This window comes from Homo sapiens, chromosome 9 (assembly GCF_000001405.40).
Source record: "Homo sapiens chromosome 9, GRCh38.p14 Primary Assembly".
Lineage (NCBI taxonomy): Eukaryota > Metazoa > Chordata > Mammalia > Primates > Hominidae > Homo > Homo sapiens.
Genome location: NC_000009.12, coordinates 64,603,232 through 64,620,024, shown reverse-complemented (window position 1 = coordinate 64,620,024; position 16,793 = coordinate 64,603,232). Strand labels below are relative to the sequence as shown.

General features: G+C 37.4%; 1 long non-coding RNA gene across 1 annotated transcript; it reads left to right on the top strand.

Moving 5' to 3' along the window:
• The first annotated feature begins 1,728 nt into the window (after window positions 1-1,728).
• LOC105379257 (uncharacterized) lies at window positions 1,729-16,190 on the top strand. Its single transcript, XR_949011.1, has 3 exons — window positions 1,729-1,755; window positions 6,239-6,409; window positions 15,862-16,190. It is a non-coding gene; the product is annotated as an uncharacterized LOC105379257 (long non-coding RNA).
• The last annotated feature ends 603 nt before the right edge of the window (window positions 16,191-16,793 follow it).

Genomic DNA, 16,793 nt, shown 5'->3' with positions numbered 1-16,793 from the left:
AGTCAGAAATGGCTTCCGGTTTCCAGCTTGGGCCCGGGGATTGGAGATGTCCCCACTGAGAGTAGGGCACAAGTGAGGAAATGGTTTGGAGAGGAAGATGATAAGTTACATCATGGATGTGCTGAGTCTGAGTTGCCTATGGGACTTGGAATGGGGGGTGGCAAAAGGTGTGTGATCTTGAGCAAGATATTCAACTCTTCTGGGCCTTGGTCTTCTCATTTGTAAAACGGTGATAAGAATATTACTTCCCATTTGTGTTGCTGTGAATATTAAATGCGCTACCACATGTAAAATGTTGAGAATCGTTTCTAGCTCAGAGTAAGTGCTCAATAAACACCATTACGCCTTTTATATGGTCTGGAGCTCAGAAGTGGAAGACAGGGTTTTGTGAAGTCATGGCTTTGTGGATGTAGCTAGATTGTGGAGTAATGGCAGGAGGGTCGGGGGCATGGCACAAGGTAGGTGGTCAAGAGACACTGGACACAACCCAAATGTCCATCCACAGGGGAACAGATACATACACTGCTGCGCAATTGCACATAATAGAATCCTCTACAATAGCAAAAATTAAGGCACAACAGACACCTGCAACAACACAGAAAAATTCTGGAAGCATAAAAAGTAATACAGTAGCTGGGTGTGGTGGTTCACACCTGTAATCCCAGCACTTTGGGAGGCCAAGGTGGGTGGATCACGAGGTCAAGAGATCAAGACCATCCTGGCCAACATGGTGAAACCCTGTCTCTACTAAAAATACAAAAATTAGCCGGGTGTTATGGCACACACCTGTAGTCCCAGCTACTCGGGAGGTTGAGGTGGGAGAACTGCTTAAACCTGGGAGGCGGAGGTTGCAGTGAGCCAAGATCACATCACTGCATTCCAGCCTGGCGACAGAGCGAGATTCGGTCTCAAAAAAAAAAAAAGCCTGGTGTAGTTGGGCACCTGTAATCCCAGCTGCTCAAAAGGCTGAGGCAGGAGAGAATCCCTTGAACCCGGGAGGCGGAGGTTGCAGTGAATGGAGATTGTGCCACTGCACTCCAGCCTGGGTGACAGAGTGAGACTGCCTCTCAAAAAAAAAAAAAAAAAGTAATACGGTAGACTATATACAGTGTGACACAATCTTGTAGCTGAAAAATAAGCAAAAACACATTATTTGATATATATATGTATGTAAGAAAACTATTTTAGAAAAAGAAATAATTCCTACAGGCAGATGGGGAAGAACACAGGAGTAGTACAAGCTATTAATAATTTTCTAGTTTTGGAGTTGGACATTTGTGGGTTTATTATATGATTGTGCTTGATAACATATAAATGTGATACATATTGTTTGTATGAGATATATATATATGTGTATATATATATATATATATATATATACACCCACACACAGATAGATGATTGCTGACAAGGAGTTTCTAAAGATCATATATATATTTTTAGGTAAAATAGAATAACATTCTGCTTCTGGTCTTCATAATAAAAGAGAAATCAGGACTAAGAAATCAAGTGTTTATTATATAGAGTTTTAATTTTTATTCTTTTATTTATTGATTTATCTTCTTTAGGCATGTGCAGAGATGAACTCACTAATTGTTCAAAATAAACAATTTGAATTCAAAGCAAAGTATATTTTTGGAATATCAATTATCACTTATTGCAGATAAATGATAATATAAAACACCAACTTTGGAATTTATTTGTTTTACTTCTGTGACTCTCAGCCTTCTTTTTAAAATATAGTGTATGTTTTAGGTAAGTCCAGACAGCAGCCAGCACTGCATTTGGTTTAAAATCCAGCTTTATAATGACTTCATCTTTCAACCAGCCAAAGGGTAGTTACCTTGTGTCTGCCATCGTGCATATGCTCTCAGCTCCTGACTGAGAAAACATGCCTACAAGCACTTCCCTGCCTGAGATTATATTAAAAATCCATACCTGTGCTAGCAGCATGAGTTCAAGTTGATTATTGTTCTAGATCTGTGACTTCCCATTCATCCTCCTAAAGATATAAATGATTGCTTTTCAATAGACCACATACATAGGAATGATTATGAAGGCAAGGTTTAGTAACAATAATATACATAGTACTCTAATGGGATAGAATTGGAACACCCACATTAAACTCTCTTAAAATATATGGAGCAGAACACATGAGAGAAAGCAAAAGAACAAGTGCACACAGCAGAGCTGCGAGTTGCATACTCTGTGCATGCTAATACCATCGCAACAACATCACTAAGGCTTCTGGGTAACGTTTGCCACATCATATTGTGACGTGCATTTGTTTTTATATTTTACCCTAAAAGGCAAAATAACTCTCCATGTGATGACAGAAGGAGCACACACAAAAAAAACCCTCTCAGAAATATTAAAATGGTTGCAGGTAATTCAAATGGTATACTGTTTTAAAAGGTACTTGTCTAAAACTTTAAGTTGGAAAAGCATCTTGGAAGTCATTAGATCCATATATACATTACTTGAATTGTGACCCTAGCTTGACATTTCCATGGTGGGAGACATATTTTATTTAGGAGGCAGCAGTCTATTTAGTTTTTGAGAGCTTAATCGATAGATAGTTCAGATTTTCTACTGAACCAAAATCTAAATGCCTACCCATTGATTTTCGTAGCCAACGTCAATATCCAACTGCTCTTTCACACAACATGGCTTCAAAGGCTATGTAACTAACATCATGCCACTGCACCTATGTCTTTTTAAAGCCAAGTACCTCTAGTGCCCCTCATTATAGCTCATATTTCAAGGTATCTTTCAGCAACAATGAATTGCATTAATCAAACTCACTTTTTTTGCGTGTGCTTCACTTTATAGCTCTTCACAAATAACACATTTTTCACAAATTGAAGGTTTGTGGCAATCTTGCATCAAGCAAGTCTATTCATTCTATTTTTCCAACAACGTGCTCACCTTGTGTCTCTATTTGACATTTTAGTAATTATCACAACATTTCACATTTTTAAATTATTATTATTATTTTAAATATTTTAACTTTTATTTTAGGTTCATGGGAACGTGTGGAGGTTTGTTCTTTAGGTAAATTCGTGACTCAGGGGTTTGATGTACAGATTATTTTGTCACCTGAGTAGTAAGCATAGTACCCAACAATTTTTTTTTCCCTGAACCTCACCCATCTCTCATCCTCCTCCCTCAAGCACACCCTAGTGTCTATTGTGCTGCTCTTTCTGTCAATGTGTTCTCATTATTTAGCTCCCAGTGATAAGTGAAAATAGGGAGTATTGGGTTTTCTGATCCTGTGTTACTTTGCTAAGGATAATGGCCTCCAAGCTCCATCCATGTTGCCGCAAAGGACAGATCTCATTCTTTTTTATGGCTGCATAGTAATTCATGGTGTATATGTACCGTACTTTCTTTTTCCAGTCTACCACTGATGGGAATTTAAGTTGATTCCTGGGTATCTATTACCTAAATTACATATAAAAGCAGAAAAGAAAAATGACAAGTAGAACATGAAAGTTAAACAGTATCTTTTCAGGTTCAATGACATAAATATTCTTATTATCTAAAGGTATAAAGTCTAATGTTTTATTTCCTATAGTGCTTTTATAGCAAAACACTTTTCAGAATTAGATAAACCAGATTGAGGCCCCAGTCTTACTACCTATTAGCTAGGTAAACTTGAGCTTTGGGATTTTCAGATTCAGATCTTGCAGGCAAATAAGATTTATTTGATATTACTTGAGGATGACAATGTCTATCTTGCAGATTATTATGGTAATGAGTTTATTTATGTGGATTGTTTTAGGATATTTTAAAACTATGTACAGACCTAAAAAAATCCTCATAATCTTTGCAGAACTGGGGAGGCATACAGGCATAATACAACTGTAAGAGTTACTGTTTCTCATGCTTTTGTTTTCTAACTGCTCTGGCCACTGTTTTAGAAGGAAGGGTGAATATATGTAAATATTCCTGAAAAAATAAAGTTTTAGAATATTAAATTATTACATATTTCATTCAGAATTTTTTGAAAGGTAAAACCAATGATTGAACGTAGTTCATGGGATGATCTGGTCCATATTCATCTACCATGATTTAACAAATTTTTTTTCTCATCTATTGATGAGGAAAAAATTAAGGGGAAATGTAGAAATGTAAGGTAAATGATCTGCAAAGAAATACACACAGGAGGTATGTGGGAATGTAACAGTGTAGGTCCGCAGGCAAACTAGGTGAAGGAGGAAGGTGAGGAAGAAAGGAATTTAAGACTTACTCTTTCTGTTTTCTTCTCAATTTTAAAGCCTGATGGAATATAATTTTCTCTACAGTAAATGTTGAATGAAAATCAGTTTTGTATGTGTTAATAATGACTTCACCAAGAGCATTTGAAGCTCTGTCTATCATATTTTGATGCTCAAAATAAAACATTGTTTTTATAGCTTAATAGTCTCATACAGTCAATTATTGCCTCCCCTCCAGACTGACACTTTGAACATTATTATTAACACTGCTGTCCTTAAACCATCATCGGCCTGCAGTGCAGACAATTTATTGATAGCTAATAAAACAGTGTTCAGATGCTGCCTGAGGGCAGGATTCAGAATTGTCATACCAATGCATAACCACATTTGATCTTTTGGAACATGTTCCATTACTTAAAAATTATGGTTTCATTTTCTTATTTTTATATCTAGATTTTAACATTATATGCATGCCTATATAAGCATTAAATATGTTATTCAGTTATGTGTGAGTGTAACTCAAATTTCTTGTAAAGTGTATGTACAGTTTAATATAAGACAGATTATTGATTAGGAAATAGTTAACAATTAATAATAGACATTGGCCAACCTCAATTACTAAACCAGAAAATAAGTTTATTTATTTATTGTATTATTTTTTTATTATACTTTAAGTTTTAGAGTACATGTGCACAATGTGCAGTTTATTTAAATGTATTGACTGTTTTTTAGTCACTACACAAATCATCTAAAAGAAAATACCACAGATGAAACCTGCAGATCCACTAACTAGTTATCAGTTTATCAAGACTGATCGTGTCCACTCCCTTCAGAAATCACATGGATTTGTGCATTATGCAGATCTTTTTTGGTCTTCCCCATCTTTTCCCATCCTGAACTAGAAGTAGAAGCCTATTGCATTTTTATCTGGTACTTTCTTTTGCATTTAGTAGAAATACATACACATACTACCCTAGGCTACTCCGCAGTACATTAAAATTTCCTTTTGCTTTCCAGTAATTTCAAATATCTCAACTAAATATCTCAGTTGAAAAATCAAAGTTTTAATTCTTATCCATCTTTCAACATAAAAACTTTTAATATTGATTATAATGTGTTGTCTGCACTTTTGTTTTTTTTTGTTTTGTTTTGAGACGGAGTTTCACTGTGTTGCCCAGGCTGGAATGCAGTGGCTAGATCTCAGCTCATTGAAATGTCCCGAGTTTAAGCAATTCTCCTGCCTTAGCCTCCTCAGTAGCTGGGATTACAGGCAAGCACCACCATGCCCTGCTAATTTTTGTATTTTTAGTAGAGATGGGGTTTCACCATGTTGGCCAGGCTGGTCTCAAACTCCTGACCTCAGGTGATCCTCCCGCCTCGGGCTTCCAAAGTGCTGGGGTTATAGGCGTGAGCCACCCTGTCTGGCCCAGCACTCTTAATAGATATATAAATCTTACTCTATTAATTGAACTAAGAACATCTTTATAATTTTCCAAATATCATTTATAATTATTAAATATTAAAACACATTTATTCTGCTTAACAAACTTTGCATCTCCTCAGAATGCCTAAATATTTTGCCATATGAAGGTTCCAGTGGAAGTTTCAGACAATACATTTTGATGGCAAATGGTGAATTTTCCTATTGAGAAATATGTTGATTACAAGAAATAAGAGAGACAGTAGATTTTCAAAACCTTTTCAAACTATTTCAGATGAATATTCAGAATTATTTTACTTATAGATTGCACTCTTCTAAGGCACTTACATATTCTGACAACTATGTGTTTTTGAAGCAAATTTTGACTGAATTAATAAATGACAGCACAGATCAAAATTTAAAAACTTACAAAATTCTCAATAGATTTCACAATTTTGCAAAGTCCCATGCTTTCTTTTAATATTGTATACTTACTATACTTTTAAGGGGTACTTTTTAACAGTTGATTTATTATCAAATAAACTTTCTATAATTTGACAGAACAACATAAATTCTTGTTTTTCTCCTTTCTACCTAGAACATACATATGATAGTTGAGAAAGACACATATTCTGATCATGAAGAAATAAACACAAGTTAAATATGACTAAGCAGAAAGATGGAAGGACCAGGAACAGTGATGCTAACTTGGAACCACGATGCAGGCTCTAATCTCCTCTACAATCATCCTCCCTTGTGAGAAAAATACGTAAGTCACTTTTAAAATAAATAGAAACCTGAACACACTTCTTAGCTGGTTTAAGTATTTTAAAAACATTGATGAATTAAACACAGAAATATGGGGAAATCTCATTACTTACCTTAAATTTTGAAATTTTCTTTACAGATCATGAGTTACTTAATGCTCTTTCACTCCTGAGTTTACATTGTAAATTAAAGTTATGTCAGCTTTAAAAAATAACCAATTAAAAATAATGATCTAAATTTATACTTTAATTTTAACGAATAGTATTATCTCTTATTATTTACCTCTGATAAAGTCCAAATGTTTGTAGGCCTATAGCTCTGGTTATATACAATGAAATATCTTTCTCATGAGTGTAGACTATCTAGATTATATTTAATGCATTTACTTTTTGAGGAAAAGGAAACCCTTAATAAAATAGCTTCAAATATTTGGTTTTAAAAAATGAGAAAACAAATACATTACAGGACTTTTGGATTTATCACCAACATGTGAAGGGCTCAGAAGTTGTCATTCCTGGCCTTACAATAATAATAATAATAAAAGCTATACAAATTGAAAATCAATGACATTTCCACAGTGGGAGACATATTTTATTTAGGAGGCAGCAGTCTATTTAGTTTTTGAGAGCTTAATCGATAGATAGTTCAGGTTTTCTAGTGAACCAAAATCTAAATGCCTACCCATTGGTTTTGGTAGCCAACGTCAATATCCAACTGCTCTTTCACACAACATGACTTCAAAGGCTATGTAACTAACATCATGTCACTGCACCTATGTCTTTTTAAAGCCAAGTACCTCTAGTGCCCCTCATTATAGCTCATATTTCAAGGTTTTCTGTTCCTGCATTAGTTTGCTGAGGATAATGGCTTTCAGCTCCATCCATGTCCCTGCAAAGGACTTGATCTCATTTCCTTTTATGGCTGCATAGTATTCCATGTTGTATATGTACCACATTTTATTTGCCCAGTCTATCATTGATGGGCATTTGGGTTGATTTCATGTATTAGCTATTGTGAATAGTGCTGCAATGAACACACACATGCATGTATCTTTATAATAAAATGATTTATATTCCTTTGGGTACATACCTAGTAATGGGATTGCTGGGTCAAATGGTATTTCTGGTTCTAGGACTTCGAGGAATTGCCACAGTCTTCCACAATGGTTGAACTAATTTACATTCCTACCAACAGTGTAAAAGCATTCCTATTTCTCTGCAGCCTCAACAGTATCAGTTGTTTCTTGACTTTTTAATAATCACCATTCTGACTAGTGTGAGATGGTATCTCATTGTGGTTTTGATTTGCATTTCTCTAATGATTAGTGATGTTGAACTTTTTTTTTGCATGTTTGTTGGCCACATAAATGTCTTCTTTTGAGAAGTGCCTGTTCGTGTCCTTTGCCCACTGTTTAATAGGATTGTCTGTTTTTTTCTTGTAAATTTGTTTAAGTTCCCTGTAAATTCTGGATATTAGACCTTTGTCGGATGGATAAATAGCAAATTTTTCTCCCATTCTGTAGGTTGTCTGTTCACTGTGATGATAGTTTCTTTTGCTGAGCAGAAGCTCTTTAGTTTAATTAGACCCCATTTGTTAATTTCTGCTTTTGTTGCTATTGTTTTTGGCATTTTTGTCATGAAATCTTTGCCTATGCCTATGTCCTGAATGGTATTGCCTACATTTTCTTCTAGGGTTTTTATAGTTTTGGATTTTACACTTAAGTCTTTAACCTATCTTGAGCTAATTTTTGTATAACGTGTAAGGAAGGGGGTCCAGTTTCAATTTTCTGCATATGGCTAAAGTTCTTCCATAGTTCTTCCAGCACCATTAATTAAATAGAAAATCCTTTCCCCATTACTTGTGTTTGTCAGGTTTGTTGAAGATCAGATGGTTGTAGCTGTGTGGTCTTATTTCTGAGTTCTCAATTCTGTTCTATTGGTCTATGAGTCTGTTTTTGCACCACCACTATGCTGTTTTGTTTACATGCTGGTTTGGTAGCCTTGTAGTGTAGTTTGAAGTAAGGTAGCATGATCCCCCCAGCTTTGCTATTTTTGCTTAATATTATCTTGGCTCTACAGGCTCTTTTTTGTCCATATGAATTTTAAAACAGATTATTCTAATTCTGTGAAAAATGTCAATGTTAGTATAAGGGGAATAGCATTGAATCTATAAATTACTTTGGGTAGTATGGCCATTTTAATCATATTGATTCTTTCTATCACTTCCCTTCTTAGCTGTATTCCTAGGTATTTTATTCTCTGTAACAATTGTGGAATTGGAGTTCTTTCATGATTTGGCTCTCTGCTTGTCTGTTGTTAGTGTGTAGGAATCCTTGTGATTTTCACACATTGATTTTTTTATCCTGAGATTTTGCTGACAATGGGGTTGAGACAATGGGGTTTTCTAGATAAAGGATCATGTCATCTGCAGAGACAATTTGGCTTCCTCTCTTCCTATTTGAAAACCATTTGTTTCTTTCTCTTGCTTAATTGTTCTAGCCAGAACTTCCAATAATATGTTGAATAGGAGTGGTAAGAAAGAGCATCCTTGTCATGTGCCTCTTTTCAATGAAAATGCTCGCAGCTTTTTCCCATTCAGTATGATATGGGTTGTTAGTTTGTCATAAATGGCTCTTAATATTTTGAGGTATGGTCCTTCAATACCTAGTTTATTGAGAGTTTTTAAAATGAAGGGATGTTGAATTTTAACATGAAGTGTTGTTGAAAGGCCTTTTCTGCATCTATTGAGATAATTATGAGGTTTTTATCTTTAGTTCTGTTTATGTAATGGATTACATTTATTGATTTGCATATGTTGAAACAGCCTTGTATCCCGGGGATGAAGCCAACTTGATTGTGGTGGGTAAGCTTTTGGATGTGCTGCTGGATTTGGCTTGCCAGTATTTTATTGAGGATTTTTGCATCAATGTTCATCAGGGATATTGGCCTGAAGTTGTCTTGTTTTGTTGTATCTCTCCCAGGCTTTGGTATCAGGATGATGCTGGCCTCATAACATGAATTAGGGAGGAGTCTCTCCTCTTCAATCATTTGGAATAGTTTCAGAGGAAATAGCACTGGCTCCTCTTTGTACATCTGGTAGAATTCCACCATAATTCCATTTGGTCCTGGTCTTTCATTGGTTGGTAGGCTATATATTACTGCCTTAATTTCAGAACTTGTTATTGGTCTATTCAGGGATTCAACTTCTTCCTGGTTCAATCTTGGGAGTTTATGTGTCCAGGAATTTATCCATTTCTTCTAGATTTTCTAATTTATTTGCATAGAGGTGTTTATAGTATTCTCTGATGGTTGTTTGTATTTCTGTAAACTCAGTGTTCATATCCCCTTTATCATTTTTTATTGTGTCTATTTGATCTTCTCTCTTTTCTTATTAGTGTAGCTAAAAGTCTATTTTGTTAATTTTTTTCAAAAAAACAGTTCCTGGATTTGTTGATTTTTTGAAGGGTTTTTCCTGTCTCAATCTCCTTTAGTTTTGCTCTGATCTTACTTATTTCTTGCCTTCTGCTAGCGTTGGGGTTTGTTTGTTCTTGGTTCTCTAGTTCTTTAAACTGTGATGTTAGGAAGTTGACTTGAGATATTTCTCATGTGGATATTTAGTGCTATACATTTCCCTCAATGCTGTTTTAGCTGTATCCCAGAGATTCTGGGACATTGTCTCTTTGTTCTCATTAGTTTTAAATAACTTCTTGACTTCTGCCTTAATTTCATTTTTTACCCAGTAGTCATTCAGAAGCAGGATGTTACATTTCTATGTAGTTGTGTGGTTTTGAGTGAGTTTCTTAATTTTGAGTTCTAATTTGATTGTACTGTGGTCTGAGAGACTATCAAGATTTTAGTTATTTTGCATTTGCAGAGGAGTGTTTTACTTCCAATTATGTGATCGATTTTAGAGTAAGTGCCATGTAGCTCCAAGATGAATGTATATTCTGTTGTTTTTGAATGGAGAGTTCTGTAGATACTTATCAGGTCCACTTGATCTACAGCTGTTTGAGTCCTGAATATCCTTGTTAACTTTCTGTCTTGATAATTTGTCTAATATTGACAGTGGGGTGTTAAAGTCTCCCACTATTATTATGTGAGAGTCTAAATGTCTTTGTAGGTCTCTAGGAACTTGTTTTATGAATCTGGGTCTTCTAAAATTGGGTGCATGTGTATTTAGGATAGTTACCTCTTCTTGATGAACTGAATACTTAACCATTATGTAATTCCCTTCTTTGTCTTTTTTTATCTTTGTTGATTTAAAGCCTGTTTTCTCAAACACTAGAATTGCAACCCCTCCTTTTCCTGCTTTCTGTTTGCTTGGTAAATTTTCCTCCATCTCTTTATTTTGAGCCTATGTGTGTCTTTGCATATGAGATGGTTCACCTGAATACAGCACACTGGTGGGTCTTGACGATCCAGTTTGCCAGTCTTTGTCTTTTAATTGGGACATTCAGTCCATTTACATTTAAGGTTAATATTCTTATGTGTGAATTTGGTCCTGTGATTATGATGCTATCTGGTTATTTTGCAGACTTGTTAATGTTGTTGCTTCATAATATTATTGGTCTGTGTACTTTACTGTGTTTTTGTAGTGGCCGGTAATGGTTTTTCCCTTCCATATTCAGTGCTTCCTTTAGGAGCTCTTGCAAGGCAGGCTTGGTTGTGATGAATTCCCTCAGTATTTGCTTGTCTGAGAAGGATTTTATTTCTTCTTTGCTCATGAAGCTTAGTTTGGCCAGACATGAAATTCTGAGCTGGAAATTCTTTTCTTTAAGACTGTTGACATGAAGTCCTTGCCCATGCCTATGTCCTGAATGGTAATGCCTAGGTTTTCTTCTAGGGTTTTTATGGTTTTAGGTCTAACGTTTAACTCTTTAATCCATCTTGAATTGATTTGTGTATAAGGTGTAAGGAAGGGATCCAGTTTCAGCTTTCTACATATGGCTAGCCAGTTTTCCCAGCACCATTTATTAAATAGGGAATCCTTTCCCCATTGCTTGTTTTTCTCAGGTTTGTCAAAGATCAGATAGTTGTAGATATGTGGCATTATTTCTGAGGGCTCTGTTCTGTTCCATTGATCTATATATCTGTTTTGGTACCAGTACCATGCTGTTTTGGTTACTGTAGCCTTCTAGTATAGTTTGAAGTCAGGTAGTGTGATGCCTCCAGCTTTGTTCTTTTGGCTTAGGATTGACTTGGCAATGCGGGCTCTTTTTTGGTTCCATATGAACTTTAAAGTAGTTTTTTCCAATTCTGTGAAGAAAGTCATTGGTAGCTTGATGGGGATGGCATTGAATGTGTAAATTACCTTGGGCAGTATGGCCATTTTCACAATATTGATTCTTCCTACCCATGAGCATGGAATGTTCTTCCATTTGTTTGTATCCTCTTTTATTTCTTTGAGCAGTGGTTTGTAGTTCTCCTTGAAGAGGTCCTTCACATCCCTTGTAAGTTAGATTCCTAGATATTTTATTCTCTTTGAAGCAATTGTGAATGGGAGTTCACTCATGATTTGGCTCTCTGTTTGTTTGTTGTTGGTGTATAAGAATGCTTGTGATTTTTGTACATTGATTTTGTATCCTGAGACTTTGCTGAAGTTGCTTATCAGCTTAAGGAGATTTTGGGCTGAGACAATGGGCCCTTTATTTCCTTCTCCTGCCTAATTGCCCTGGCCAGAACTTCCAAAACTATGTTGAATAGGAGTGGTGAGAGAGGGCATCCCTGTCTTGTGCCAGTTTTCAAAGGGAATGCTTCCAGTTTTTGCCCATTTAGTATGATATTGGCTGTGGGTTTGTCACAGATAGCTCTTATTATTTTGAAATACATCCCATCAATACCTAATTTATTGAGAGTTTTTAGCATGAAGTGTTGTTGAATTTTGTCAAAGGCTTTTTCTGCATCTATTGAGATAATCATGTGGTTTTTGTCTTTGGCTCTGTTTATATGCTGGATTACATTTATTGATTTGCATATATTGAACCAGCCTTGCATCCCAGGGATGAAGCCCACTTGATCATGGTGGATAAGCTTTTTGATGTGCTGCTGGATTTGTTTTGCCAGTATTTTATTGAGGATTTTTGCATCAATGTTCATCAAGGATATTGGTCTAAAATTCTCTTTTTTTGTTGTGTCTCTGCCTGGCTTTGGTATCAGAATGATGCTGGCCTCATAAAATGAGTTAAAGCAATGGCAACAAAAGACAAAATTGACAAATGGGATCTAATTAAACTAAAGAGCTTCTGCACAGCAAAAGAAACTACCATCAGAGTGAACAGGCAACCTACAAAATGGGAGAAAATTTTCGCAACCTACTCATCTGACAAAGGGCTAATATCCAGAATCTACAATGAACTCAAACAAATTTACAAGAAAAAAAAAACAACCCCATCAAAAAGTGGGCGGAGGACATGAACAGACACTTCTCAAAAGAAGACATTTATGCAGCCAAAAAACACACGAAAAAATGCTCATCATCACTGGCCATCAGAGAAATGCAAATCAAAACCACAATGAGATACCATCTCACACCAGTTAGAATGGCAATCATTAAAAAGTCAGGAAACAACAGGTGCTGGAGAGGATGTGGAGAAATAGGAACACTTTTACACTGTTGGTGGGACTGTAAACTAGTTCAACCATTGTGGAAGTCAGTGTGGCGATTCCTCAGGGATCTAGAAGTGGAAATACCATTTGACCCAGCCATTCCATTACTGGGTATATACCCAAAGGACTATAAATCATGCTGCTATAAAGACACATGCACACATATGTTTATTGCGGCATTATTCACAATAGCAAAGACTTGGAACCAACCCAAATGTCCAACAACGATAGACTGGATTCAGAAAATGTGGCACATATACACCATGGAATACTATGCAGCCATAAAAAATGATGAGTTCATGTCCTTTGTAGGGACATGGATGAAATTGGAAATCATCATTCTCAGTAAACTATCGCAAGAACAAAAAACCAAACACCGCATATTCTCACTCATAGGTGGGAATTGAACAATGAGATCACATGGACACAGGAAGGGGAATATCACACTCTGGGGACTGTTGTGGGGTGGGGGGAGGGGGGAGGGATAGCATTGGGAGATATTCCTAATGCTAGATGACGAGTTAGTGGGTGCAGCGCACCAGCATGGCACATGTATACATATGTAACTAACCTGAACAATGTACACATGTACCCTAAAACTTAAAGTATAAAAAAAAAAAGACTGTTGAATATTAGCCCCCAATTTCTTCTGGCTTATGGGGTTTCTGCTGAGGAGTCCACTGTTATTCTGATGGACTTCCTTTTCTAGGTGACATGGCTCTTAAAAATTTTCCTTCATTTTGACCTTGGAGATACTGCCCATTATGTGTTTTGGGTTGATCTTCTCATGGATCTTACTGAAGTCCTCTGAATTTCCTGAATTTGAATGTTGGCCTGTCTTGCTGGGTTGGGGAATTCTCCTGAATGATTTCCTGAAGTATGTTTTCCAACTTGGTTTCATTCTCCTCATTTCTTTCAGGTACCCCAATCAGTTGTAGGTTTGGTCTTTTTACATAATTCCATAGTTCTCTGATTATTTTTCATTCCTTTTCAGTTTTTTCTCTAATCTTATCTGCCTGTCTTATTTCAGCAAGATAGTCTTTGAGCTCTGAGATTCTTTCCTCTGCTTGGTCTATTCAGTTATTTATGCTTGTGGTTGCATTGTGAAGTTCTGGTGTTGTGTTTTTCAGGTCCATCAGGTCATTTATGTTCCTCTATAAACTGGTTATTCTGGTTTACAGTTCCTATAATGTTTTCATGGTTATTAGCTTCTTTGAATTGTTTTAGAATATACTTTAGCTCAGCAAAATTTGTTATTACCCACCTTCTGAAGAATACTTCTGTCAGTTCATCCACCTCAAGCCTCCACCCAGTTCTGTGCCCTTGCTGGAGAGGTGTTGCAATCATTTGGAGGAGAAGAGGCATTCTGGCTTTTTGAGTTTTCAGCATTTTTGCATTGATTCTTTCTCATCTTCATGAGCTTATCTATCTTCGATCTTTGAGGCTGCTGATCTTTGGAAGGGGTTTTTGTGGGGCCATTTTTGTGGATGTTTTTGTTGTTGTTGTTTTCTGTTTGTTTGTTTTCCTTTCAACAGTCAGACCCCTCTTCCTTAGGGCTGCCGCAGTTTGCTGGGGGTCCACTCCAGACCCTATTCACTTGGTCCCTCCCCTACCTGGAGGTGTCACCAGTGGAAGCTGCAGAACAGCAAGGATGGCTGCCTGCTCCTTCTTTTTTGAACTCCATCCCAGAGGGGCACTGATGTGATGCCAGCAGGAACACTCCTGTATAAGGTGCCTGGAGACCCCTGTTGGTGGTCTCAATCAGTTAGGGAGTATGTACAGGATCGGGGACCACTTAACAAAGCACTCTGGCTGCCCCTTGGCAGAGAGGGTGCACTGCACTGGAGGGAATCTCCCTTGTCCAGAATGTCCAGACCCTTCAGAGCCAGCAGGCAGGAAAGACTAAGTCTGCTGAACCGCAGAGACTGTGGCTGTCCCTCCCCACAGGAGTTCTGCCCAGGAAGATCAGAGTTCTGTCCATAAACCTCTGGCTGGAGTTGGTGAAATTCCCACAAGGGGGCCCCACCCAATGAATAGGGATGGATCCAGGTTCCACCTAAAAAAGCAGTCTGGCCATGATCTGCCACAGCTGCTGTGCTCCCGGTCTAAACCTCCCTGTCTCCCCAGCACCACCAGGGGAAAACAGCCAACTGATGCCACAGTGATAGCAACCACCCCTTCCCCTGGGAACTCAGTCATCTTAGACAGTCTCCAGTCTGCTGTCACTGGCCACAGCCTGAGCGGTGATGAGAGTCTGCACAGCTCTGTGCTTGGCACCCAAGGCCCTGGTGGTGTGGGCTCACAAGGGGATCTCTTGATCTGTGAGTTGCACAGATCCATGGAAAAAGCATGGTTCCTCAGGAAAGGGAGCACAATCACTCACTGCCTCCCTTGACTGGGGGTGGGAGTGCCCCTTGCCCCATGCAGCTCCCAAGTGAGGCATTGCTCCACCCTGCTTTTCCTTGCTCCCTGTGGGTCAGGCCAATCACCTTGTCACTCCCAGTGAGAGAATCCGGATACCTCAGATGAAGGTGCAGAATTCACTCGCCATTTTTGTTCTTCTAGATGGGAGTCACAGACCACAGCTGCTTCTAATTGGCCATCTTGGCACCTCCTCATTTAACCTTCTTTTCTCATCTAAAGGGGATAAAGGATGAAACTGTCCCAAAGAAAAGTTTATAAACCAATTAAGGGAGAAAATAAAATTCAACTAGGCTTGCAGAATAATCAGTGGCAATCATGAAATCCACTTCCCAATTTGGCCTACTTCCTTGTAGCTAGTTACTTCTTACTCCCCCAAGATAGTGTAGCCCTTGTCACAAGAATGTGTTCCTTTTCTTTTCTATAGATAAGATCTAAGGCACATGAGATGATACGCTTTCTGTTTGAGTTTCTCCTTTATGTTACGCATACTGATAAAATTGTTGACGCCAGTTGATCTGAAGGTCCCAGCAAGGAGCCGACTCACAGAAGAATGCAGTTTTCACATCGTGATGATTTAATCTTCCTTGACCTGAGCAATTGACAACCCCAATTCTCCAGAACCTCACCCGCCACAATCCCCTTAAAAACCCTGGTCCAGAACCCCTCAAGCAGACAGATTTGAAGCTTGAGGATTCCTTCATCTCTTTGCCCAATGGCATTGTGATTATTAAACTCTTTTTCTGCTGCAAATTATGATGTCTCAGTGTATTGGTCTATTGCTGCTCAGTGGGCATATGAATCTGGCAGTCCTGTAACAGGGACAAAAGATAAACTACTGGCAAAACACTCGTAAAAGTCATAACCTAAGACATAGGCCCACTGAAAGGCGGATATTCAATCAGAGCACTATAGAACATATTTCTCTGCTCATACCATAAAATTTAAACCAACATGACTCCAATATAAGGAGACAGACAAAAGAGCTATAAGAAACAGACACTGTTTGAAGATGAGTACTTAAGGAAACCTAAAGTTAAGGGAGGAGACAAAAACAAGGACACTAGAGGAATTTGAAACCTTCAGAAACTTGAGCTATAACAAATATTAAATGCAGTTCAACTCCAAGACAGATTAACATATATCCTCAATTAACTTTATCTCAGTATCAATTTATCTCAGCATCAATTTATCTCAATATCTATTATGGATACCACATGTCTGGCTCTCAACAATGGCAACAAAATTACAAAACATGGTAAAAGGCAAGAAAAAAATTAACAATCTGAAGAGACAGGATGATCATCAGAACAAGACTCAGTGATGATGATGCATATTTTGGAAATAGCAATCAAGAAA